This window comes from Homo sapiens, chromosome 3, assembly GCF_000001405.40.
Source record: "Homo sapiens chromosome 3, GRCh38.p14 Primary Assembly".
Taxonomy (NCBI): domain Eukaryota; kingdom Metazoa; phylum Chordata; class Mammalia; order Primates; family Hominidae; genus Homo; species Homo sapiens.
In genome coordinates, this window is record NC_000003.12 from 66015044 (window position 1) to 66041686 (window position 26643).

At 45.0% G+C, this 26643-nt stretch overlaps 1 protein-coding gene and 2 long non-coding RNA genes across 8 annotated transcripts in view, besides 4 other annotated features; 1 reads left to right on the forward strand and 2 right to left on the reverse strand.

Moving 5' to 3' along the window:
* LOC124900543 (uncharacterized) overlaps positions 1 to 9271 on the reverse strand; it is a 55600-nt gene extending 46329 nt beyond the window's left edge. Inside the window, exon 1 of the long non-coding RNA XR_007095951.1 lies at positions 1 to 9271. This exon is cut by the window's left edge and continues 39088 nt beyond it. This is a non-coding gene — a long non-coding RNA (uncharacterized LOC124900543).
* The window catches only part of MAGI1 (membrane associated guanylate kinase, WW and PDZ domain containing 1), a 685393-nt gene extending 661518 nt beyond the window's left edge, over positions 1 to 23875 (reverse strand). For all 6 annotated transcript variants that reach the window (NM_001033057.2, NM_015520.2, NM_001365904.2 and 3 more), the window contains exon 1: positions 22953 to 23875. In NM_001033057.2, the coding sequence (NP_001028229.1) occupies positions 22953 to 23265 (313 nt within the window). In that variant the 5' untranslated portion in view covers positions 23266 to 23875. The remainder of the gene's footprint in view (positions 1 to 22952) is intronic.
* Positions 20405 to 21234: an enhancer, noted in NCBI's record as "H3K27ac hESC enhancer chr3:66021123-66021952 (GRCh37/hg19 assembly coordinates)". NCBI's record gives its function as "activates a minimal SCP1, AML or CMV promoter by ChIP-STARR-seq in primed H9 embryonic stem cells {active_cell/tissue: H9 hESC(primed)}" and the evidence as "EXISTENCE:reporter gene assay evidence [ECO:0000049][PMID:30033119]".
* Positions 21235 to 22062: an enhancer, noted in NCBI's record as "H3K27ac hESC enhancer chr3:66021953-66022780 (GRCh37/hg19 assembly coordinates)". NCBI's record gives its function as "activates a minimal SCP1, AML or CMV promoter by ChIP-STARR-seq in naive H9 embryonic stem cells {active_cell/tissue: H9 hESC(naive)}" and the evidence as "EXISTENCE:reporter gene assay evidence [ECO:0000049][PMID:30033119]".
* Positions 22063 to 22890: an enhancer, noted in NCBI's record as "H3K27ac hESC enhancer chr3:66022781-66023608 (GRCh37/hg19 assembly coordinates)". NCBI's record gives its function as "activates a minimal SCP1, AML or CMV promoter by ChIP-STARR-seq in primed H9 embryonic stem cells {active_cell/tissue: H9 hESC(primed)}" and the evidence as "EXISTENCE:reporter gene assay evidence [ECO:0000049][PMID:30033119]".
* Positions 23843 to 23962: a silencer, noted in NCBI's record as "silent region_14503". NCBI's record gives its function as "represses an Ori minimal core promoter by ATAC-STARR-seq in GM12878 lymphoblastoid cells {active_cell/tissue: GM12878}" and the evidence as "EXISTENCE:reporter gene assay evidence [ECO:0000049][PMID:35858748]".
* Positions 23910 to 25251, forward strand: LOC105377128 (uncharacterized). The gene is made up of 2 exons (XR_001740440.2): positions 23910 to 24155; positions 25009 to 25251. It is a non-coding gene; the product is annotated as an uncharacterized LOC105377128 (long non-coding RNA).

Here is a 26643-nt window from a genome sequence, read left to right on the forward strand (position 1 = left end):
CCCAGCACCCTCTCCCAGACCAGACAGGGTGGCTCATGCCTGTAATCCCAGCACCTTGGGAGGCTGAGGCAGGAGGATTGCTTGAGCCCAGGAGTTCAAGACCAGCCTAGGCAATACAGTGAGACCCTGTCTCTACAAAAAAAAAAAAAAAAAATCTAAAAAATAAAAATAGAAATACAAAGACATAATACACACGTACTAATTGATAAATTAAGACAGCTATGGTAAATAAAAATAAGCTTTGGATATATAAAAGACCTGGATATAAAGCCCTGGCTCTGCTGAGCCCAGTAAAGCACCTTACGTCCTGCAGGCATCCATTTCCTCATTGATAACTGTGGACGCAGCCAACCCCCTCCCAGCCTGAACCTAAGAACCTGGTTTGTTTCCCAACTTTGCCTACCATTAACAGCAGTGAAAAAAAAAAATCTTAACTCCTCTGTGCCTCAATTTCCTACTCTCAAAAATGGGAATGATTATAACACATTTCATAGAGCTGATTGAGAAGTAAATGAGTTGATAAAAAGCACTTCCAGCAAAGGATGGCATAGAGTAAGGGGTACATATATGCTAGATATTCTATAGCTACTGCCTTAAAATAACAATTAGATGATATTTTTTAAATATGCCAAAAAGTTTATAAGCAATAAATGTCTAGTAGCTTAATTTTTATCCCATCTACACTGGAATAATCAACAGAAAGAAAAATTGACCAAACCAGGAAACTACCCTGACATAAAGTTTATTGGAAAATGTCTATACGCATTTTCTCTCTTTCTATCTGTACATCAATCATTCTAGAACACTAAAGACTCAGGGATCACTTAATTGCTCTATCATCATTTGTAGCTTCCTACAGAGTGGTGACTAAATTGAGACTTCAAGAAATCGAAAGGAAATAACATGAGGACATAAAGACAGTATACTTAGAATGTGTTTCTATCAAATATGCTCCATATAATTTGGTCCAACAAATTCAGCTCTATAAAATCTCAAAGGAGGTAGTGGTGCCAGGAAAGAAGATAAAAACCCAGAGTGTTAAAACAGAAGTGTTTTGAGTCAATTACGAAGTCTATTCAGCGCCTCCACAAGCCTAGAATCAAGTGATCAGATTCAAAGGAGGAAAACTGACAAAATTAATATGGTAATAACTATCAGTCATTCAGTGTTGCCTTTGCTCTGTGTTCCATGCCGAGAGTTGACTGCATCATTTCATTGAATCCCTGTAGCAATCATATAAGATATGTGCTCTTATTACTGCTACTTCACAGAAGTAAAAACATGTACCCAAGGCCACATAGCAAGGAAGCAGCAGGACCAGATTTGAACCCGGACTACATGAAATTCAAATCCTGTGCACATAATTACTGAGCATACAGCCTCCAAGCCAGAAAGGTGGAAGGGTCGACTGGGTCAAAGCTGATGGCGGGACCGAAGAACAGCTGACCAATACACACACCCTTTGCAAAGAAGCGACGAGGACACGTTGCTGGCAAGGCTCTACTCTGGCAATATGTGCCCCAGCACCGGAGCTGGAGACTTTGGGTAAGTGGTGCTCCGGAGAGACCCAGGGAAAGTCAGGCAAAACTGAGCAAGAAAGAAAAGCAGAATGGAGGAGGTCAGGACATCAAGAAAATCTGACTCCACCTGCTTCCAAGGGGAGTGGGAAGATAAAAGTCAAATAGGACAAGGTGGAAACAACCCAATCTCCATCAACAGATGAAGGGTGAGCAAAATGGGGTACATACACAATGGAATATTATTCAGACTTTAGAAGGAAGGAAATTCTGACACGCTGCAGCGTGGATGAATCTTGAGGACATTACACTAATTGAGATAAGCCAGTCGCAAAAGGGTAAACACTGTACGATTTCACTTTTATGAGGTATCTGGAGTAGTCAAATTCACAGAGAAAGAAATTTAGAGGTCACCAGGGGCCAGGGGAAAGGGGAATGGGGAGTTGGTAATAGGCACAGTAGGAGAAGATGAAAAAGTTCTGGAGATGGATGGTGGTAATAACTGCATAATAACCTGAATATACTTAATGCCACTTAATTGTATAATTAAAATGGTTAATTTTATGTTATGTTACGTATATTTTACCACAATTTTGTTTAAGTCTCATAGAACCTTGCTACGTTCATGAAGTGCCAAGTTGCACTGCCGGGAACCCCAAGGAGAAAGTAGGAGTTAGTCAGTGCGGGAAGACGCAAGCACTTGTGTCTCAACACGCGCAGGGCGCGGCTGCAGATGGAAAAACCGGGAAGCTCCGCGCTGCAATGAGCCAGGCTCGCAGTGAAACCATCGCCAAGGCACCAACGTCTCCCTCCCAACGGAGGGTGCAAGGAAGGGTGCCTGGCCTCAGCTTTCTTCAGATCAAACTCCAGGGGGTCACCTACCCTTAATTCACACAATGGTACATCACACCCTGAAGGGGATCCTGCCACCTGTCACCAGGCAACAATGCAGCCTCCTGACGAACACCAAGCTAGAGGAAACCCACCGCTGTCACCTAATCTGCTGTCACCTAATCTCAGACAAGTAACAACTTCCAAGGCTCAGGGTTCTGACCGCTAAACTGGAGAGGATGGTACACACACTTCACAGCACGTGCTAAGGATGAAGGATGGTGCACGTGTGGCCCTCAGTGCAAAGCCTGAGTAGAGAGGCACTAAATCAAGCTCCACTATTGTTATCATCCGTATAGGTCTACTCTCCTCGGTTTTCACTTTCATACATGAAGCCCAACAGCCAGGTGACAGGACAGATTGGGCAGGTGAGAGCTGGAAGTCATCCCAACTTTGAAAAGAAAGGACTCTTAGGAAAACACAAAGAAGGAGGCAGAAACCATTAGAATAGTTAAACAATGAGAATGCTGAGAACCAACAAGCTGAGAGAAAAAGCAAACATCTTTACTCTTCTTTGGGAATTAATATCTGTAAATTGCTTTGTCTTGGACTCATTTATTTTTCCTCCTTTGATCTTGGTCAGAGATGCGGTCCACAATTTTTGGTGGTTGTGCTTCATGAACACACAACCAGGAGACAAAGATAAGGAAGGACACTTTGGTGGGGGGGGGGGGTGTCTGCACATGCCCATTTAATGTTGTTTTCTTTTACAAGCCTGGCTGGAACAAAATACCTTTAACCTCCACTACACCCTCACCCCAACACACACAGGAGCAGCCCCTGCATATTTTCACACGTGTAACTTTCTGCTACCACCAGGGGATGTAAAAGCAGAGTATTTTCTTCCAAAGACTGACTGCCTGGTTAACAGCATTTGGCCATACTCTAGTACCCCAGAGGTGACATCCCATTCTCTACCTTCCAACAAGGGTATTCAGTGCCAGGAGTTAAACCCTGGGATTCCAAAATTCTAGGCTAAGTGGCCTCCAGCCAGGCACAAAGAGCCAGGCATTTTTTTTTTAATAGATGCAGAAACTGAGGCACAGAGAGGTTAAGCAAGTGATCAAGGTCACACAGCCGGTAAGGGCCGGTGAAGGAATTGAAAATAGGCCAGTGACCACTGTAACCAGTAAACTATCTTGCCTCACATGGATCATGATCACCATCCCTTGTGGCTAGGTTCCAGGTGGACTTGGTACAGCCTTTGGTGGCCGCTGATGGGCTGGTGACCCTCTTTGCAGCCTTCTGCATTCTGAGTGCTCGGGGTCTTAATCAGCCACCTGAGCTCTGACTCTCACCTCACTCAGCACAGCATGGGTTGGTCTCATTACTTACCTCCCATCCTCCTCTTTCAAGTCATTGCTTGTCAAGTTTTGCAAGAATGAGAACTGGCTGTCTGATCACCTCTCGCTCTTCCCTTTGGGAAGCCACAGTGTGTCTCCATTGTTCCCCAGAACTGTTCAAGGCTTCCGGTAAATTCTCGTATCTTCCCTGAGCCATATCCAATTGGAAGGTACCTACCCACACCAAGAAGGATGCCATCTTGATTGGTTCATTCATTCACTCATTCATTCCACAAATGTTTATGCTGCTCAGCTGCCAGGTACTGCCTGGCCATAAGGAGAGTAGAATACATGGATTATGGATCAGATTCCTGCTCTCAAGTGATTACACTCCAGTGGAACAGATAATAGGCAGGCTAACTTCAGATGGTGATGAGAGCTAAGAAGAAAATAAAGTGAGCTCAGGAGATGGTGAGTGAATCTATGGGGAATTCTGTGAGAACTAGAAGGCAGGGTTTCCCAATCTTGCTGCTATTGGCATTTGGGCCAGATAAATCTTTGTTGGCAGTGGGCTCTCTGGTGCATTAAAGGATGTTTACAGTACCCCGACCCCTACCCCTCTATATACCAGTGGCACTTCCCAGATGTAACAATCAAAACTGTCTTCAGACATTGCCAAATGTTCCCTGGAAAGGCAACATTACCTCAGTTGAAAACCACTGATCTTGAATACTATTTAACAGCACAGGCTCTGCAATTAGAACCAGATTAGAATTGCAGTTTACTAGCTGTTAAGTTAAAGCAAATTACTTCACCTCTCTAAGACTTGGTTTCTTCATCACTAAAATGGGTTAAATTTTATCTACTTGCAAAGTTGTTGCAAAAATAATAATAATAAGATAGTGTCTGTGGAGAGTTTGACAAGAGCTCAGGTAACAAATGATCAATAAATGGGAGCTGTATTTTTTAACTCATCGGGTCAAGTTAAAACTCATATCCAAGGAGTCCACTCTTACCTCATCCATACTCAATTGCAATTAAATTTCCCATGGCACCTGTCCAATTTGACCTTTCTCTAAATCCACCATCCCATTGGAGGTAGCTGTCAGAAGTGGGGATCAGTTGGTTACTTGACCTGGCATCTATTCCATGGCTTCTCTCTTCTCAACAGCACCTCCCTCTTCCTTAGGGAACCATGTTTTGCTCCCAGTGCAACAGTCAAAAGGCCCAGATAAGGACTGACCCCACCCGTTACTGCAAGTGGGCACCAATTTGCATAAGCATCAATGATTAGGGATTGCAGAACTAAGGCATTCAGCACACAGTACATGACGTTCCTCTGGGTCTCTCTCTCCCTGGCTGTGAGTAACAAGGCATATCACCCGTTTGCCCCTGTTATCCATCTGCAAATAAGAGCCATCTTGGCCGGGCGCAGTGGCTCACGCCTATAATTCCAGCACTTTGCGAGGCTGAGGCAGACGGATCACTTGAGCTCAGTTTGAGACCAGCCTAGCCAACATGGTGAAACTCCATCTCTATTAAAAATACAAAAATTAGCAGGGCATGGTGGTGCACGCCTACAATCCCAGCTACTTGGGAAGCAGAGGTAGGAGAATCGCTTGAACCTGGAGGTTGCAATGAGCCAAAATCACATCATTACACTCCAGCCTCGGTGACAGAGCGAGACTCTATCTCAAAAAGAAGAGCCATTTTGAGGCTCAAGACAGGAGGAGGGTGAAAACAGCAGCTCTGAGAGAATCAAGGCTGTCCATTACAGATATGTAGGTTGTATCTTCACAGGTAGTCAATACAGACTATCGGCAGCTCTGAAGCAAATTACAGAGAAATTGGACCCATACGCTGATTGAGCCATACCTGAAGCTCCATCCTTCTGAAATTCTAAGTTATATGCATCAGTTCATCTCCTTTGCTACCTAAGCCATTTGAGTTGCATTTTTTAAATTAATTATAACCAAAAGCATCAAGTGATACAACAGTTTAACTATACAACCTCGGGGTAACACAGAGTCTCCCACCCTGCATAAAATACTCAAGTTGAAATCACTTTTCAGTCATCCATTATATTCACTCATTACAGGTGCTGGAGACAGAGCAGTCAACAGGAGAAAACATCACCCCTAACCTACTTCACCTGGGACAATGAGCGCACTACCATATGCTGAGCTTAAGAAAACTGTCATCGGTAAATGTACCGATTAAAAAGAAAAAGGCCAAAGGACACTAAAACATGATCTACCCCAAGCTTTCAAAGTTAAGAAGCATCAACCCAACGTATCACTCCAACCGTGTCTTGGAGCAGCTGGATGTGACACCAAAGATCTGTAACTGTCCTCACTATTTGTGGAGGCACTGTCTTCTGTGCCATTCAATACGGTAGACACTAGCCACAAGCAGATAGATTTAAACTGTGTGTCAGTACAATGTAAAATTCAGTTCCTCAGCCACATTACAGGTACACAATTGCCACATGTGGCTAGGGAATAAAATATTGCACAGTGTAGATAAAGAATATTCCATCATCACAGAAAGTTCTATTAGTCAATGCTGTCTTTCCACCGGAGTTCCCTTTCTGCCTTAAAAGGGCAAGCATGGTACAGAGGAAAAGGTCCCTCTAAATTACTAAAACCCTGAAGCAAGAAAATGAACTTCCACAAACACATATGCACACACCTAGCATTTGCCCCCTAGAAGAACTTGCAGCTCAAATAACTCAATTTGTCTTTCTATTCTTGACTGCCTCCCACAATCAGTGTTCATTCGAGTGTACAGTGGGGTCTGTTACCATCACTTGTTAGATAACTGGAAGAAAGGCCAATATTTTAGAGCCTGGAGCATCACACGCTGGACTTGCCACATTCAGCCAGAGCACCTTTAAACACTGGATTCACAGAGTCCACACCCCCAGGATTCTGATCCCGTAGGTCTGGGATGGGGTCTAGTAATCCCCATATTTAACAAACACCCTGCCTGATTCTATGTAAGTGGCTGTTCTGTGGACCACTCTTTGGAGGTGGAGTATCAGGACTGTGCTGAGCAGGGAGACATGAGTCAGAATCACTAATAAAGCCACGCCCCGGTGACTATAACTTGAAAACTCTCCCAGGTAATTCTGATATACTTTCCATTCACCCAAATCCAATGTGTGGGGTACTGTGTTCAAAGTTGATGATTTTCTTCAAGAAGCTGTGCCTGCAATCTGTTAGCAGCCATCAGGTGAATATAAGTGCCTGGTAACAGGTGCACAGGACTGCAAATTTCCCCCGCAGCCTTTTCCCGAATGTCTCTTTCCCCTCTGGAATTCAGGCAACAGGGTGACTCACCATGTTGTATTAAACCCCATGGATAAGCTCCTTCCACCAAAAAAAAGCCTCCAATCCTTACAACCAGCTGTCTTATTCCCATTAATGGCTTCTTCTCACAATTATCTTTCTTTGGGATAATTTATTTCACACAGAATATCTTGAGCTTACATTTTTAGCTAAAATGTCGCAGAAACAAATTCACATTGCTTAAGAAAGCCAGGGCCTTTCTTCCCTATGGCAGTATTTTCCCACGGAGTTGAAGAGACATACCTAGGCAACAGCTACATGAATTTTTCCTTTGCTGGGCATCCTATTTTCCCGATTTTTCTCTTATAAATAATGACACATGTATAATATATCAATATTGAGATAACACTTTGTGTCTTCAAAAGTTTTCTCTTTTTAATTTTAAAAGAAAAATAAATTTATAGGGTTAATAAATGTGGCTCATAGATTCAAATAGGCAGAAGCCAGGACATTTCCTTGGATGTAGGTATCCGAAACAACAGTCTCATCTGCTGTCCTTACACTGGAATGAACAATTACTGGGGATTTTTTTCCATCTTTGCCTAAACTCAAGATTCAAAGTCCCAAATTAACCCATAGCTTTTGGACACGTGTCAGCCATTCGAACATGGAATCTCATTGTCTCTGTTACCTATTGCCATTATAATGCCATATAATTAACAATCACGAAACCTCAGTGGCATATAGCAATATGCATTTATCACATATGTACCTAGAGTTCACTTAGGGTCAGCTAGAGTGCTCTGCTAATCCTAACTGAAATAAAACAGGTTTCATATACACTGTGGAGGAACTTAACTGTGCATTTGCACTGTGACATGGCTAAACTCTTTAACAAAGACGAAAGCACAGAAATTTAACCTGGGATCGCCCAGCCTGAAACACCATGAAATATAAGCTTTTTGTGCCACATTATCCTTGAGCATTTTATAGTAGCAGAAAGAAGTCAAACTTCACGCCAAGCTAGGGGACTTCTGGGTGCTCCAAAAGCAGTGACCACAATGAAGGAAGTGGATCGGGGCATACAGTAGTCTAAACTTGAAAACTCTCCTAAGTTGCATCTCACATCAGAAGTTCTGGATTACATATAGAATATCCTATCTAAAATTTGAATTCCTAGACAGTCTATTGGAATGTTCCATTCTGATATGGAAATGGAGGGGGAAAGGGGACTAGAGAAGGAGAGAAAAGACACACAGTACAAGTCCAAACCAAGTAAGATTTTAACCCTGCATTGGACTTTTGCTGACAATTTTATAGTTTTAATTTAATAGAGGACCTTTCTTGGCTCCTTGATAGAAAAAAAACTGCACTGACTAAATTTCTCATCTGAATTACCTGAATCCCTTTCCTCATCCTAGTGCAGCAAACCTGGTGCCCGACATGAATTATGCAATGCAGAACAATCCATTATGCAGGCAGGAAAGCAAGAAGGGCTACACTGGTTTGCAAAAAACAAAAAACAAAATTCTACCATGTAATGCTGGCACTGAAAAACAGATGACTACCGGTCTTAGAGGTTAATCATGTTCTGACACTGTCCACTCCTGGGGTAAAGGTTAGGGTCCCAATTTATCTATAGAAAAGTCCAAACAAGTTGTATTATTAGGAACTTTCCTGCCAAATTTAAAACCTCCCTAAATGGTATACATAAACTTCATTCGTTCTTGTTGGTAAAGCTACACATTTCACAATCAAATCACTTCAGGGCAGAGAATAGATTCTATTCCTGTACTAAGAACTCAAATTCACGTGAACATCAATTTCAAGATGTGACTTTGCACCCAGTTCTAAGACCCGGCAGACCAGGGCCCTGGGACAAAATATTCCAAGAATTATGATCAGCTGTCAAAATATGCTCTCTCCCCAGCTCTTCATAACTTGAATTGGAAAGCTGTCACCAGCTGGGCCTCAAATAAACCTACATGGACTATAATGCCAAAGTAGACCACTTCCAAAATGTACTATTCATTTCAACACACATTTCCTGACCCTTTTTGTGAGTTGGTCAGTATCCTGGGCCCTGAGAATACAGAAAGAGTAATGCAATTACTGCTTTTGGAGAGATGAAGTATGAGAGAAACCAAGTGAGAGACAAATATATAAACAAGGCATTGCAAGCTTGTCATCTGAGGACCAAATATGGCTCCCAGATGTGTTTTGTTTGGTTCACCCTTTTTTTAAAAAAAAGAAAACTTTGAACCAGTGCTTTAAAACTGGCAAAGTTCATTAAAAAAAAAAAAAAAAAAAAAAAGAACAGGCTTCTGGTTCTCTTGAAAACCTGAAAAATCTACACTAGAAACACCGGGCCAATGTTCCTACATGGCAGCAAGAGGCCAAAGCAGAATGGCAGCTTTTCCCATTGAACAGAATAAGCCCTTCCAGGTAATCCTAGTCCCCACCACTCCCTAATTGTCCTTTAAAATACTACTCAGTATCCAGCCGGGCGCGGTGGCTCACGCCTGTAATCCCAGCACTTTGGGAGGCCAAGGTGGGCGGATCACCTGAGGTCGGGAGTTCAAGACCAGCCTGGCCAACATGGTGAAACCCTGTCTCTAATAAAAATACAAAATTAGCTGGGTGTGGTGGTGCATGCCTGTAATCCCAGCTACTCGGGAGGCTGAAGCAGGAGAATTGCCTGAACCCAGGAGGCGGAGGTTGCAGTGAGCCAAGATCGCATCATTGCACTCCAGCCTGGGCAACAAGAGTGAGACTCCGTTTCCAAAACAAACAAACAAACAAAAAACTACTCAGTTTCTGACTTGTGAAGACCACCATAAATAAACAATTCCAGTAGAAGGTATTATCTTTACAAGTGAGATAAGTGAAAAATTACAGGACTCTCGATATACAGCCAGAAGGGATATTAGTTAATATATTCTCTGGGGGGGTAAAATGATGATGGATACCAAAAGCCTTAAAAAGAAATAATTCATGTGAGCCAACAGCTTTATTTCTAGATAGCTATCCAAAGAAAATATCTGAAGATGTTCGCTAAAATGTATGTATGAGGGTAGTCATCAATATGTTATATAAAAGAGAACTGAAAACACTCTAAATGTTCAACCTTAAAGTAGAGCTTATTATATTATAAAGTAACCAAAAATAAATTTTGCAGTCACTGAAATAGTCAACTTGATCTACATATAGTATTTTTTTAAAGTCCATGATTGGCCAGGCACAGTGGCCCACGCCTGTAATCCCAGCACTTTGGGAGGCCAAGGTGGGTGGATTGCTTGAGCCCAGGATTCTGAGACCAGCCTGAGCAAGACAGTGAAACCCTGTCTCTACCCAAAAAAAAATTAATTATTTGGGCACGGTGGCACCCACCTGTGGTCCCAGCTAGTCAGTAGGCTGGGATGGGAAGATCGCTTGAGCCCAGGAGATACAGGTGAGCCAAGACCGTGCCACTACACTCCAGCCTAGGCGACAGAGAAGTAAGGCTCTGTCTCAAAAACAAAAAAACAAAAAAACAAACAAACAAAAAAAGTCCATGATATGCTGTTAGGCATGAAGAAAACTCCCACCCAAACAGCATGTACTGTACAGTCTTATTTTCATAAGAAAAAGCCCCCCCATCTTCAAAAGTATATGTTTGTGTTTCTGTTTGTGTATGTGTGTGTGTCTGTGTGTGTGTATGTGTACGTCTGGATAAAAATAGTGTTAACACATGTATTTCTCTGGGGTGGGATTACGGGCAATTCGGACATATTTTTCTGCCATATTAACATATTTCTGTATTGTATACATTGTTTAAATGAGAAAAAATTTAAATTTCACCAGGAAAATACATAAGCTGTGGAATCACAGACCAATTTTAGATAGTGATTGATAGTCATATAAGGTCACGATACTATTTAAGTTTTTAAAAGATTAGAAACCAAAATCTAGATGCCTACGCTTTTTATAAAATAAAATGTTAAAAAAACACATGCTGCAACACCGGAGAAAGCTTTTTTTTTTTTAACAACTTGATCTTGAGTTCTGAATTCTTAACTAACTCACACAGACTTAAACAGGCTGATAGATGGAGGAGGAAATGAACATGCTCTCCCTATCAGATGTAAATTCTAACGCTTGGCCAAGAATCCAGGTGGTAAAATACTATTTAAACCAGGCCAAGGTGGTACCTTCCACGGCCACATTACATAAGCAACAGGCGCAAGCAGATGCACACATCTGGCCAGAATAAAGGCCCTCTAAGACCTTCAACATAATTAATTCAATATTTTTCTCTATAGTTCAAAATGCTACAACAACTGGCAGACAACCATCTTAAATCATCACGGAAAAGTCAGACATATGGCTAAGTATATTTAATATGCTTTAAAAATAAGACATGGATTTTCTAGCCAACAAGATCTCAGACAATTTTTTTTTTAATTTTGCCTACTCATTACCCTCAAAAAGAATTCAATTCAACAGATATTCCTGAGTACCTACAGAGGGCAGAGACTACAAAGATCCATAAAATAAGGATGTTGCCTTCAAGAAACACATAATCTAGTATGGGAGACAGTTGGGCAAAACTATAGTTACAAGGCACCATTGTGACTCTTTGAAATAATGAAGTGCATGGAGGATAGAGAGAGGGCACACGGGAGGAAAGAATGGACAGTGTTGGTGAGACTGATCAGAGAGAAGAGGAGATGGCGGCAATTAAGCAGAATTGCTTGAAAATATATAGCAGCACACCGTTTTTTGGCAGGAAACACTTTGGGAAACCATTTTTTATTTATCGGACTATCTTCCGTGGGGTCACCAAGCATGTCTCTCTGGCAGCAAAAGGGCCAGCCTAAGACCGGTGTCTCTACATTGACATGAGGGCTCCAGGCTATGGGGTAGACACATTTCTTTCTTTTTTCTTTTTTTTTTCTTCTTTTTCTTAAAAAAAGAGAGGACCGGCTGGGCGCGGTGGCTCACACTTGTAATCCCAGCACTTTGGGAGGCCGAGGCGGGCGGATCACAAGGTCAGGAGATCGAGATCATCCTGGCTAACACGGTGAAACCCCATCTCTACTAAAAATACAAAAAATAGCCAGGCGTGGTGGCGGGTGCCTGTAGTCTCAGCTACTCGAGAGGCTGAGGCAGGAGAATGGCGTGAACCCCAGAGGTGGAGCTTGCAGCGAGCCAAGATCGCACCACTGCACTCCAAGCTGGGTGACAATGAGACTCCGTCTCAAATAAATAAATAAATAAATAAATAAATAAATAAATAAATAAATAAATAATAAAAAAAGAGAGGGTCTTTCTCTGTCACCCAGGGTGGAGTGCAGTGGTTCCATCATAGCTCACTGCAGCCTCGGACTCCTTGGCTCAAGCAATCCTCCCACCACAGCCTCCCTCCCTAGTAGCTGGGACTACAAGCATGAACCACCATGCCCCTGCTGTCAAGGCATTTCTAACATGGAAACCTAGAGTAAGATTATTGGAATCAGATAGATCTGAGTTTGAATCTCACCTAGGTCAGCAGTCAGGGAACCAGGAGAACCTGACTTCTCAAGCTAATTTTCTCACAGCTGAAATGAGAATAAGCTCATCTACCTAGACAAACCCTTAACCTGGGTTTAAGTGATGTATCAGAGGAACAATAAATAATAGTTACAATTACTAGCATATCCCTCCTAACTCAGATTCCCAGTATCAAGCATGGAGTCATGCCTGTAGAGGGGCTTTCTCAACCTCAGCCTTACTGACATTTTGGGCTGGATAATTCTCCCTTGAGGGGCTGTTGTGTACATTGTGGGGTGTTCAGCAGGGTCCCGGGCCTCTACTCTCTAGATGCCAGAAGCAACCCTCTCCTTAATTGTGACAACCAAAAATGGCTCCAGACGTTGCCAAATGTCCCCTGGGGAACAAACTTGCCCCCAGCTGAGAACCACTGATTCAGAGGCACTAACTGACGTACCTCCATTTCTCAGCTGAAAATATCACAGCTGGCCAGGCACGAAGGCTCATGCCTGTAATCCCAGCACTTTGGGAGGCCAAGGCAGGCAGATCGCTTGAGCCCAGGAGCTCGAGACCAGCCTGAGCAATGTAGTGAAACCCCATCTCTACAAACAAACAAATAGCCAGGTGTGGTGGGTGCATGCCTGCAGTCCCAGCCACTCAGGAGGCTGAGGTAGGAGGATCGCTTGAGCCCAGGAGGTGGGTGTTGCAGTGAGCTGAGATCAAGAAAAGAAAAGATCACAGCTGCTTGTAGGGTAGGTACTTCAATGAGCACCACTTAAGAGCCAGGCAGGGTAGTACAAGTTTTACATACATTATCTCATTTAATCCTTACAACCACTTTATGACACAGGTAACATTCTCATTTTCAACTGGGAGAACTGATGTTCTGGGAGGCTAACCTGTCCCTGGTCTCTCAGCTGGGAAGTGCGAGAGCCTGGATTTGAACCCAGGCGGTCTGACTCCAAACCCTTATGACCACTAAGCCCCACTGCTTCCCCAGCCATTCCTGATGTAGGAGCCCAGACGTGGTACCAGGAAGATGAGAGGACCACAGAGTCCCATTCTCAAGAATCATCGTTGATGGTAAAAGCCTGCCTGAACACGCAAGAACTCGCCCTCCCTCCACACTACCACAACCTGCGACCTGCGAACAATCATTAAAAGCAATTCCTCACCGAGGACAATGTGGGAGAAACTCGGGCAACTCAAACCTCCGTGAGGTCCGGAGGCTTCCTTCCTACTTGTCTGAACTAATCCAGTCTCAGCCTTTCAAAAAGGCAGCATCTGAATCAAGCAGAAAAAAGAGTGTTTTTTTTCTAGACTTGAAAAGCTCTCCAGAGAACTGTACACTGCAATCTCCATCTCTCAAGAGATTCTTTCTTCTCTCCCAAGGGCTTTCAAATGGGGAGCATTCAAACAATTACAGAAGCCAACATTTATTGAGCACTCACTATGTGCCAAGCCCTGTGTCATGTGGTTTACTTTCTACTTTTCCAACAACCCTAGAGAGTAGGTATCATTATTATCCCCATTTTCCGAGGGGGAAACCTGGCACAAAGAGGTTCAGCATCTTGCCCCAGAACACCCAGCTCATAAAGTGTAAAGCCTGCCTCTTCACCCAAGCCAACCTTGGGTCCAAAATCTGACTCTATGACACATCAGTAAATTGCTATTTGTGGATCATTTTATGAGCAGTACTACGGTCCTGATGACACTATATATAGCAGTAATTTTGAAACATGGCTTATAATCAGGGCACGATCGCCTTTTAATTGCACCATCATGCCCCTGTCCATAAAGAGAGCCTCGAGTCTTGTCTCATAAAGGAGTAAAGATTATCCTTATTGTAAGAAGCATAACTGTGGCCCATTAAACAGACACACAAATGCCTCCATCCACAGTAATGGTGGGGTTGATACCTTAGCCATGAGAATGTAATTATCTTATGGAACTCATCTTCATGACACTGGAGATGGTAACAGAAAAAGTCTATACACACAGCCAGAAGAACCTCTCAGTCTGTTTAGGGGTGAGAGAGTCTGCAAAGTTCCATGACACACTCAGCATGGGGCTGCCTTAGACACACAGTGGTGACTTGCTCTTTAAAGCATCTCCATTGGCCTTCTTGACTCACTGGTCTCACCTCTTCCTTGCCCTACTGGAACTTCCTGGGAGCACCTCCCAGATAAGCCCTGTGCATTCAAATCCTGACCTAGAGTTGCCTTCTAGGGATTCATGTTGGTGGGGAGCACACAGGACTGAAAGTGGACTGAGGCCAATGACTTGGCTAAGTAAGGGATGCTGTGCACAGACCTATCCCTAACTCGACAAGATCTTCATGGTGACTCTAGTAGCCTCAGCTCTCCTGTTTGGATCAGCCACCTGGTACCCCTTGTTACCGTCATTTCCCAAATCAAAGTAACCTCTGAAAATCAGGACACTCAATTAATTTTAAAGTCAAGGACCTCTTCCATGCAGGGAAACCTAAAATTGGAAATGTGACCTTATCTCTGACTCCAAGGAGACTCCAGTGGACTCTTCCCTCCCCTTCTTGACAAGAAACCAAGGACCCACATGTTCTTACTTGTAAACCCATAATACTAAGACCAACTGAAGCAGGCCAGCAATGTTCACTGACTTTAAGAATATTCCTGGATCAATCGGCTAAGCTCTATTTTAGCCCCAGCCATTGACTGTAAATGTTAAACTCTAACCAACTTTAATGTGATCCATCATCAGTCACCTAAATTTTCAGGGACTTCTATATATCTACATTTTCAGAGGTAACTGACCTCAGAAGAGATTTATTCTAGTTCTAAACTTGACTGTAAACATTTAACAAATACCCAAGCAAGTACTAGGCACCATGCACTGTTTTTGCTACTGGGGATACTGTGGGAGAACAAGACAACATTCCTGCCATCTCAGAGCTTACATTCTAGAGAAAGAGGTAAAATAAGAAATTTACTTGTGGTGAAGCGATCTACATACTATGGAGTAAAATAAAGCTGAGAGGGGGAACAGGGAATGACACGTGGCAGTGGAGTTATGGTTTTCAATAATGTGCTCACAAGAGGCCTCACTGGGCAGGTGACATTTCAGAAAGACTTGAAGCTCAAGAGATAGCAAGCCTGTAAGATGATCAGGTGGGCACTAGCAGGCAGGACAGAGAAAGAGAAGTAATATCCTTAGGACAGGTCACGGGCAGCCTTGGAAGTCACTATAAGGACTTCGGCTTTCACTCAGATACAGAGACTACAGAAATGATTAATAATGGATTATTCCATTATGTAATTACTGAGCCATAAAAAGAGAAGATTTCTATTTAATCATAAAAGACACTGCTCAAATTACATTTTCTAATTTTGCTACATGCCTTCGGAAAAGTTGACATCCAGAACACATTAGACCCTCCACAGGACACTTAACTAGAAAGCAGAGTCAATATGATAGGACCAACCTTGACATCTGTTGAAACAACAAAATGAATTCATAAGAAATACTACATCGATGCCGACCTCCATAGGGGAGAAGTCTAGCAATGCACCAGTGTGTACTAGGGATTTTTCAAGGTTACAGATCTCACATATGAGCTGCAAAAAGACAGGCAGGCATGCAGTAACCTACTTTTTTAGGATGTGAATGTCAGCCCTTAACGAATTTGACAGCCTTTATTCTCAGTGTATACAAAATCAGTATATCCTGTTACTTGTATATACAAACTCAAGGAAAGGGCCACTAACACCAGAGAGTGGTGCTTTGCATTAAATAACCCTCGTTTACAAAGCAACATCCTTCATGTAAACCCTTGTGGTAAGGAGATGTCAGAATGTTTTCTCTTATAAACCACTTAATTCCCCTTGGTGGATATCATCAATTCTGCCATCTAAAACCAGCTGGGTAATGAATGCCAAGAAACACGGTGAGCCAACTGTATGCCATTGCCACAGAAGGTCAAGTTAATCTATTTTTAAATAACACAGCCAATGACAAGGGGTGGCCACTGGAAACGATGGACAAGTGCGTTGTACGTCCTTGCTTCATTTTTTGTAAAACCTGTACAGTGTTCCACAGTGTAACCTAAAAATATCCTTCCAAGAGTGGTCTTTTGGCACCAAGAACAAAAACAGGTTGATTTTTGAAAGTTTAAGTTAAAAAAAAAAAGACATAAATACAAAGTACAATTTAAGAGCGAGAGGGCTAAAATTGGATTGTGTTCTGTAGCAAAGATCTGATTTGCTATTAGCCAAAAAAAAAAGTACACAGGGACAATGCTGCAAGAAAACGGAGGGAAAGAATCATTTTTAGGCATGAGGACACAGGTCCCACATCAACAAAAAAAATCCTCATCATCCTGCCTGCTGAACATCTGAAATTTCACGTTTAGAGGCTCACTTGTTAAACTTCAGTTAGAGTCAACAGGCAGAAATACTTGAATAGGATTCATTAATCCTTGTCAGTCATTTATAGCCCAGTATAAATTATTAGACACAGAAAGCCTGCTAATTGGAAGATCTGATTACGAGAAAGTGAAGACCTCTGGATCCTAAACAAGAAGTAAAAGACAAATCGAGAGAAAGGGAGGAAAGATGTTGCAAGTGGCCTAGTTGCACTTACCTTCCGAAACAATGGAATAGTCATTCAGGCATCCAACCAATTTTAGTGAGCACCTATTATTTGCTGGGTCTTTTTTTTGAGATGAGTCTCACTCTGTCACCCAGGCTGGAGTGCAGTGGCGCGATCTCAGCTCACTGCAACCTCAGCCTCCCGGGTTCAAGCAATTCTCTGCCTCAGCCTCCCTAGTGGCTGGGATTACAGGCGCCCACCACCACGCCCGGCTAATTTTTTTGTTTTTTTTTTTTTTTTAGTAGAGACAGGGTTTCACCATCTTGGCCAGGCTGGTCTTGAACTCCTGACCTTGTGATCCACCCACCTCGGCCTCCCAAAGTGCTGGGATTACAGGCATGAGCCACCACGCCTGGCCCTGCTGGGTCTTTTTTAGACACTGAGAAATACAGCAGTGAACAAGAGAGACAAGCTTCTTGTTTTCATGGAACTTCTATTCTCATGGGAGGGGAAACAGACAATAAAGAAGAAACAGGGCCCGTTGCGGTGGCTCACGCCTACAATCCTAGCACTTCGGGAGGCCAAGGCGGCAGGCAGATTGCCTGAGCTCAAGAGACCAGCCTGGGCAACATGGCGAAACCCCACCTGTACTAAAATACAAAAAATTAGCCAGGCATGGTGGTACATGCCTATAATGCCAGCTACTCGGGAGGCTAAGCATCAGAATTGCTTGAACCCGGGAGGCAAAGGTTGCAGTGAGCCGAGATCGCACCACTGCACTCCAGCCTGGGCAACAGAGCGAAACTCCATCTCAAAAAAAAAAAAAAAAAAAACAACAACAACAACAACAGAAGATAATACGAGATTGTGTCAAGGCTATGAAGGAACAAACAGGGTGAGGGAATGGCACTTTACTCAGGGAGCTATCTTTTGTGTGTGTGTGTGAGATGGGGGTCTCACTCTGTCACCCAGGCTGGAGTGCAGTGGTACAATCTTGGCTCACTGCAACCTCTGCCTCCTGGTCTCAAGCGATTCTCCCACTCTGCCTCCCGAGTAGCTGGGACTACAGAAGTTCGCCACCACGCCCAGCTAGTTTATGTATTTTTTGGTAGAGACTTCACCATGTTGCCCAGGCTGGTCTTAAACTCCTGAGCTCAAGTGATCCACCCACCTTGGCCTCCCAAGGTGCTGGGATTACAGGTGAGCCACCACAAGGGCACTATCTTATATGCAGTCAGTGGTGTGTGGGGGCCAGCTCACATTGGCTTGGGAACAGCAAGTATACGCGTCTCTTCCCAACTCCAGCTATGCTATAAATCAGGGTCTACCCACTACTAGCACTGGTTGTTAAGCATTTTACAGCACACCAGAAGGAGGTCACTGAGGAGAAAGAAGCAAGACCAGAGATTCATGAGAAACCAAACAACTCTGAAAGACAAGGCCCTGTGTTTTAAAATGAGAGTTATTGTCATACATTCCAATGAATCAAAACAATACCAAAACAAAAAACCACACAAAGAACTATATTCAACCATATGTGATCACAATTTCCCTCATTACAGTGAGGGGAAGGGTCTGGTGGTGGTTTGGTTTGGCTTTTAAATTGTATCTCTTTTATTATCTCCACACTGCCACACATACACAAAAAGTAGAGGGATAGTTACAGTTCCTGGGTAATTTGAAAAACCACAAAATTCACCTGCAAAAATATGTAAGCATGACCTGTAATACACCACTTTGGGAAACTACAATCATACCATTTTAAACCTTTGGAGTCTGGGTGATTCATGGAAACAAAGGATTTCACGAGCACAAATAACCTGAAGAGGCTCACCCACTTATTTTTGGCATAGAGAAATGTAGGCTCCAAGAATGTGACTGGCAGAGCTTATTCTAGAACCCAGGTCACCTGTCTCATCTGATGTCATCTTCTCAATTTTGGTCTATACCCTAGTACAGTAGTTCTTAAAACTGAACCCTTGAATCCCTTAATAAGCCCATCAGAATCCCTTGAGGGTTTATTAAAACACCCCATGGTTGTTACCCCACCCCCCAACCCCAACCCCATCCCCCGCAAAGCTTCTGAATTGGTAGAACTAAGGTGGGGCCCAGGAATCTGGATTTCTAACCAGTTCCCAGGTTACTATACTAATGCCACTGGTCTGAGGACCTCACTTGGAGACCTACTGTCCCAGGAATTGGGAGCACAGGCTTTGGAATCAGACAGAGCTGGGTTGCAGCTCTACTGCCACTGTGGTATGACCCTTGGAAAAGTTACCCAAATTCTCTGAACCTCAGCTTCTAACATCTGAGTCCAATTGTAAGGACTGAAAAAGAGAATGCCCACGAAGCATCAGCTTAGCCAAGCACCTATTATATTCTAAGGCAAGATCTTAATACATACTAGCGACATCTTATATCCTGTATCAAAGTTTCCTTAATTACATTTTTCCGAAGCATATACTAGGACGGCTAAAATTCAAAAGACAAACAAAATCAAAGATGGCCAAAGATGTAGAGCAACTGAAACATTAATAACAGCTTTATTCGTAATAGTAAAAAATGGTAAATACTCCAAATGTCCATAAACAAGCAAAAGGACAAACTGGTATGTGTATACAATGGAATATTACTTAGCAATAAAAAAAGAACCAAATGAAGTACACATGCAACAAAACGAAATCTCCAAAATATTTTGTTGAGTAACAAAAGCCAAACACAAAAGAGTACATACTGCATTAGTTCATTTTTATGAAGTTGAAGACAAAATTATTCTATGGTAGATCTATGGTGCAGGGGGAGGGGGGAATTAACTGGACAGGAACATGAGAAAAATTTCTGGGGTGATGAAAATGTTCTCTATCTTCATTTGAGTGATTAACATGAGTGCATACATCGCTTAAAACTCATCAAATTATATATCTAAGATATGCATTTTACTATAGGTAAATGATACCTGAATACACATAATTATATATAACTTTGTAAAGGCATTTTATGACAAAGTACTGTCTTCCCCACTTAAAATGAACCAACTCCAACCTGACAAAGGACTGTCTTCTCCATTTAAAATGAACCAAGTCCAACCTGGCAGATCCATTGAGTTTGATTCCTGCACAATCCAGTCCTGTCACAGACAGTTTTGGTCCATGTATCTTTCCAGAGAACTGCCATGAAGTAGAAAAACAGAATTTTCTCCCACCATGTAGACAGTATCCAGAGTGATCTGTGTCCCTGGAAGTGGCTAACTTGGGATGCAAACAACACAAAAGTAGTATTTTTCTTTACCATATACCAAGTATGAGCCTGCTTGATATGACTTTAAAAGGCACAGTAATGAAGACACATTAAGAGCAATTCTGTCATACAATCTAAATCATATTCTCAACATGGAAGAGGGAGCAGAAAACTGGTGAAATGGTTTCTAGGGCCATCATTACTGGTAATGAAGACGTCAGAAGATCCAACTGTGCCTGTGTAATTATTACATGAAATAGTCACTTTCAGACTGCAATGAATTCCAGGCCATTCAGGTTTCCCAATCAGTATCATATTTCTATCCCATTACAAGTAGATTCACGTACATCCATCCATACATACATATACACACACACACAGAAACATACCCACACACTCGCCCCTGCTGTGAACAATCTGTGCACAAGGGGTGAAGAGAGCTAACACCTGGAGACACTACAGTTTCCTTTCAACTCAGAGGTGTCTGTTTCCAAACCCACTTGATTATCTCACCAAGCCTTCCTAAACTCCATGATGAGAGAGCCCTGGGACATCGCCTCCCAGAAATTTGGCAACTAGTGGAAGGAAGAGACACAAGCCCATGCAGCATCTTGCACACTGCAAACACTGCAAGCCAGCCCCTATTCAGGACCCGTTAGACACTGCGAGGCATCCCCCTAGTTGGGCAGGTACCCTTGCCTGTCCTTCCTCCACCCTTTCTCCAAAATGGTCCTGAACTGAGACCTGCAGCTGCTCCCATCCTATGCCTTCACACAGTATTTTCTCTACAGCCCTATCAAGTCATAATTATCCAGGTTCCTGACACTAAAAACTAGTTTCAGAAATAAATAGCTGCTAAAATCAATTCAAACATAAATAGCTAATCTTTATGGAGCACTTACTATGTACAGGCACTGTTGGGTGCACTTTCCACGTGTTAGCTTATGTAATACCCACAGGAAAGCCAGTGTGAGGAAGACGCATTGTCAGGCCAGGAAAGGTTTTGAACCTCAAGCAAAACCTGGAGAGGTATGCCAGGAATGAGGCACAATCTCTCCCTTTAATGAGCTCACTACCTTGTATGGAAATGAGGACCTAACTCAGAGTTCAGAGTAAGTAAAAAAGCCACAAAGTAGACATTAAAGGAGCCCAAAGGAGGAAGAATTTGTGCATCCTAGCAGGATTCTGGAGGGCTTCTTGGAGGAGGTATCCCAGTGGAGAATGAAGTCATAAATACAAGGAGCTTTCCATAGCTAAGTGTCAGCTCCTCAGCTCCCAAAGCTGCTAAAAGGCCAGGCGAGTCGGCCGCCCCCTCCTCCATTTCATCTGGAGCACGCCTGTTTCCAAGAGAGGACCAGCTAGGCCCAGCCCTTCCTTTGACACATTCCTCCAGCTGCTGCCTGTCCTTATGGAAACACATGGGAACTTTTCACCATGTTCAACTTCACGACTTCCTTCGGTGCTTTCACTGGGGAGAACCTGCGTCATGGCACTTGCTTGCACAAGGGAGCCCTTTAAGGGCCTCAGCTGGTCTCCATTGGGTTGACATGAGGACAGCCCCTTGTCTGTACCAAAGTGAGATGTAAGGGACCTACATCACCAGCAGCCAGCAAATGCATCTTTTAAAAGGCCTCTACAGATTTCTGAGAGAGGAATTTGCTTCCACTCCCTCCTCAGGAATCAGCCCCTTCAGTGCGGTAGGGTCATCCCCCCACTCCTTCCTCCTCCATACTTAAGGCTCTGCAGCAAGGGCTCAAACCCTCGCTTTTGGCAACTGTGTGACCTTGAGCAAGTCACTTAACCAGTATCAATCCCAGTTTCCTTATCTCTAATTTGGGGTATATAAATAAGAACAACTCGTTCTTAGAACTGTTGTGAATCGGAGTGAGATAGTGCAAGTAAAGTATTTTACACAGAGCCGGGCATGTAGTAAACCAACAATGAATAGTAGCTTCATTTTCATCATCAATAATGACGATGATGGTGGTGGTGGGAGGGTAAACTTGGACCCGATTCGAGCTAAAAGCAAGCACCCCTTCCCCCTCTCCCCCTCCCAAGTGTATGGCTGAGCCACACGGTGGAGACACATGCGTCATCCGGCTGAGGGGTGAATGCAGGCTCTTCTGGCGGCGGGCTCAGGAACCGCCAGGCAGTGGTGTCCTAGCTCACCTGGAGGGGTCGCGGGGTGAAGCAGATTTTCTGATGGGGGAGGTCCAATAAACTACAGACCCTCTCTTTCTGTATACCCACTCAGCAGGTATGGAAACTGACTCGTGGCCAAAGAACGCCAGCTGCATCCCTCCCCCAAGGAGCCAGGACAGCGTCCACCATGCCCCTGACTCAGTTCCCCAACTCTCTCTCGGGTGCAGGCGAGACTGCGCTGCACTTAGTGGCGGAGATAACAGGTTGGCCAGCCAGGCCTGAGAAACGTCCCCCCGCTACCTTGCGCAAACCCAGCCCCCTCTTCGAAACGCAGGTGGGCAAACAACCCTCAACCTCGCAACAACTTTGTGTATTTCACCGCCACCACAGGGCGCACGGCCTCAACTTCTCTTCACTGCGCTCCGAGGAGGGAAGCAGGAAATCGAGAATAAGGGGCAGCCCACAGACCACCCTCCTTTTCTCGGGGCGCCCCCCAAAGGCGCGCCCTGCCTTACCTTGTCTGACGGCCTTGAAGGTGACGGCCTCCTTGCAGCTGTCGATGACCCCCAGCACGTCATAGCGGGGCAAGCCGGACACCCGGACCCCCTGCACCTCCAGAAGCAGCTCCCCTTCGCCCAGCCTCGGGCCCTCGCCGCCGCCGGGAAGCCCCGCTGCCTCGACCGCCGCCACCGCTCCGACGTACGGAAACTCCCCGTGCTCCGCGCCTCCCAGCACCGTCACCCCCAGCTCGCCCTGGGGTCCCCGCTTCACGGTGCATTCGTGAACCCTGCTAGTCCAGTGGTTCTTCTTCTGGATCACTTTGGACATGATGAGTTACACCCCTCCTCCAAAAAAATAAAACGAGAGACAGGTGCCCCCCACAGCACGAGCCCCCAAGCCTCCGCTTGTTCATGGGAGAAACATCTCTCCCCAAATCACAAAACAGGAGAGAGAAACTTGGCAGCCTCGCTCCCCTGCACACGCTCGCGCACTCAAGCCATCATAAAACAAACTTTCTGGGCTTCCCCGCGAGCCCCGCACAGGCGCCCGCGAGCTTTGTTTGCATTCCGGTGCCTCTGGGTCCACGTTCCGGCGCCCGCCCGTGCTCTCCCGGACCAGAGTCCACTCTGCGCCGCTCGGGTTATTTTTTTTTCCTTCCTTCCTTTCTCTCTTGCCTTTTACAAATGCGGTGCCTCCTCTTTGCCTCCCGCCCGGCTCGCCTCTCCTCGCTGGCAGGCTGTTACTGAGGGTGAGGGAAGCCCTTCCAGCCAGTTGCCGGGAGCCCTGAAGACGCGGTGGCGGGGCGGCGGGGAGCAGGGCGGGAGGTAAGTGCTCGCGGCCCCTTTAAGCAGATACAAAGGCTCGGCTTGTTTTGTTACAGTTCATTCTATTCCGCGCCGCGGAGCGCAGCGGCCGGCGACAGGAGACGCGCGCGCATGCGCCCCGCGGCCGCCAGCCGGCCGGCCCACCCCTCCCCTCCTCCCCGAAGGGAGAGATTCCAACGTGCTTCCCGATGGGTCCTAAAACCGACCTGCCGGGAGAAGGCAACTCCCCCCCAACCCTTCCTGAACCCCTATCCTCTCTCCTTTTCTTTCAGTGCCCTGGACTCCGCGGATTCCTTTGGGGCTGGAGGGCCGCACACGTGTTTTACTCCAACTGTTTGCAACTTTTGAAACCCGGGCAATCTGGCTTTGGCATTTGAAAACCATTTCAAACAGGTGGGGGTTGGGGAGGCTGCCACACTCACCCTGGCGCTCACACTCACGCACACGCGCACGCACTCGCGCCGGCCCTAAGCCTCCTAACCGCCCTCGGCCAGTGGCTGGCCAGGCTGTCGGTCACCCAGCCCGGCTGGTTCGCCGCCCCCCTTGCCGCAGGTCCCACTGAAACCCCCGAGACCCGCCCCGGGGCGCTCGCCGCCTCCCTGCCTGCCCTGCGCTTGCGGGTTCGGGTCCTGGCGCGGGGTCTGCCAGGGTCTCTGCGACCCGGGGGAGGGGGACGGTGGGATCCTCCGGTTCCCCAACTGGGATCCCTGTGCGGGTCACACGCGCTCTTACACACACCCGCATCCTTAAACTTTGGGACCAACTTTTTAGGACACGGGAAACTACAGGCAAGAGAGAGAAGCCATGGTGCTAGTGTGGGTTCAGGTATTCAACCAAAAAAGAGATCCCTCTAGCTTTTCAACTGCCCTGCCAGCAGAGACTGCTGGACCCAGTCAATCATCTGCCCCGGCCTCAAGTTCCTGGCAGGGCCGAGAAGCCTGCGGACCTACTCCGGGGCCAGGAGATAAGGATCCCCGCCGGGCGCGGACATGCCCTGCGTCCTGGCGCCCGCGGGGGCGTGAGAGAACTCGGAATTCGCAGCCCGGGGGTAGCTGCGGCCTCCGGAGGTCGCCCGGGGGTGCGGATGGAGTGACTTCTGTCCCGGCGAGGTGGCGGACAGAAAGACTCCCATACCACAGGAAGGCTGCCCTTCCCAAATACTCCTCAAATCAGGCTGCTGAGTAGTCTCCCCAGCAGTTTGTTTTCCTCTTTAGTGATGTATAATTTTGTTCATCTTTGGTCACAGGAGAGATTCCAAGAAATGAGGGGGGTACGTTGAAACGATGAAGAAAGGATGGACACAGCAGTCGAGGTTGAGAGGTAGGCTCAGGGGTCCACCCTTGTGTGACCTTGAGCAAGCTTGGTGACCTCCGCGCCTCCGTTTCTCGCTGATCAAATAAGTAGAACAAGACCTCACAGGGTTCTTGGAAGTATTACGTGGGAAAACACTTATAAAGTGGCAAATAATAAAAACTCATTATATTCTTAATAGTAGTATTACTATTTGGGAAGAAAATTGGGAAATCATTTGGGGATTCAAGTTAGTAAGTATGATAATTTATCCTCTCCTTTCTAGAACTTAGAAAATATGGGCATACTTTGTGTGTTTGTTTTTTGATGGTGGTGGTGGTGTTTTTAGAAACGTGGTCTTGCTTTGTCCCCAAGCTGGAGTGCAGTAGCTCGACTAGCTGATTGTAACCTCGAACTTCTGGACTCAAGCAATCCTACCACCTCAGCCTCCTGAGTATCTGGAATTATAGGCACATGCCACCATGCCCAGCTAGTTTTATTTTTTTGATTTTTTGTAGACATGGGGGGGTCTCCCTATGTTGATTGCCCAGGCTGGTCTCAAACTCCTGGGCTCAAGCCAACCTCCTGACTCAGCTTCCCAAAGTGCTGGGGTTATAGATGTGAGCCACCATACCTGGTTTAGGCATACGTTTAAACATCCTTTTAAAGCATTGTAGGGTGCTATTCTAAGCTAATAAAAGTAAGGAGGGATGTTGATGCTTCTCTCTTGGGATATCCAGAACTGAAAATCCCATTGCATTGTTGTGTTTCTGAAAAAAGGAGGTGACCAATTTTCCATGGCTTTGCTTGGTGAGAGGAACTTTGTCTCCAGCTTTTTTTCAGAAGCAATCTAGGTCAATATGAACAGCACTTCAAAACATAAATTATCAAACCCGAGCACAGATCCAGCCAATCAGAATGTCAAGGAAGGGCTAAGTCATTTGAACTTTTAAGGTTCCCCTTATGTGTTGTTGGTACACAACGCTGAGCACCATAGGTTTAGTATCTTGATTCCAAAGCATTGTTTGGGTCCCAGACCTTTTTGTCAAATAAACCTGTGATCCACATCTCTGTGTAAAATAAAAACTCAAGGAGGTCAGGACACTTTGACAGTTTGGTTTACTGATGTATTATTCCCAGTTCCTAGAATGGTGCCTCGTACTAGCAAATGCTAAAATATTTGTCAAATGACTCTTTCCACAAAAATGTACATTTTTACTTTCCATGTTAGTGGGGAGTCACAGATTCCCCTGCAAATCATTAGTAAGCTTAGTAAGCTTAGCCTTGTGTGTTTCCCCACTTTGCCACTTCATATTCTAGTAAAGTGTAATTGTTTGCTAAGAATACCCACAACCAACCTTGAATTAGGAGTCCCCTACCTCTCCACTCAACTCTCACCTCTGCCTGGGGGAGTCCAAGGGCTGGACAAGACCAGGCGTTTTGTGATTCCTCCCAATGCAACAACATCCCCCTCTTGCCAGGATTCCAGGTGTCACCACAGCAGCTGAGAAAGGAAAGAACTTGGAATTTAGCATACGTCAGGTTTTAGATGTGGAAAAGCCCCAAAAGAAGGAGTAGTACCTGTGGGCAC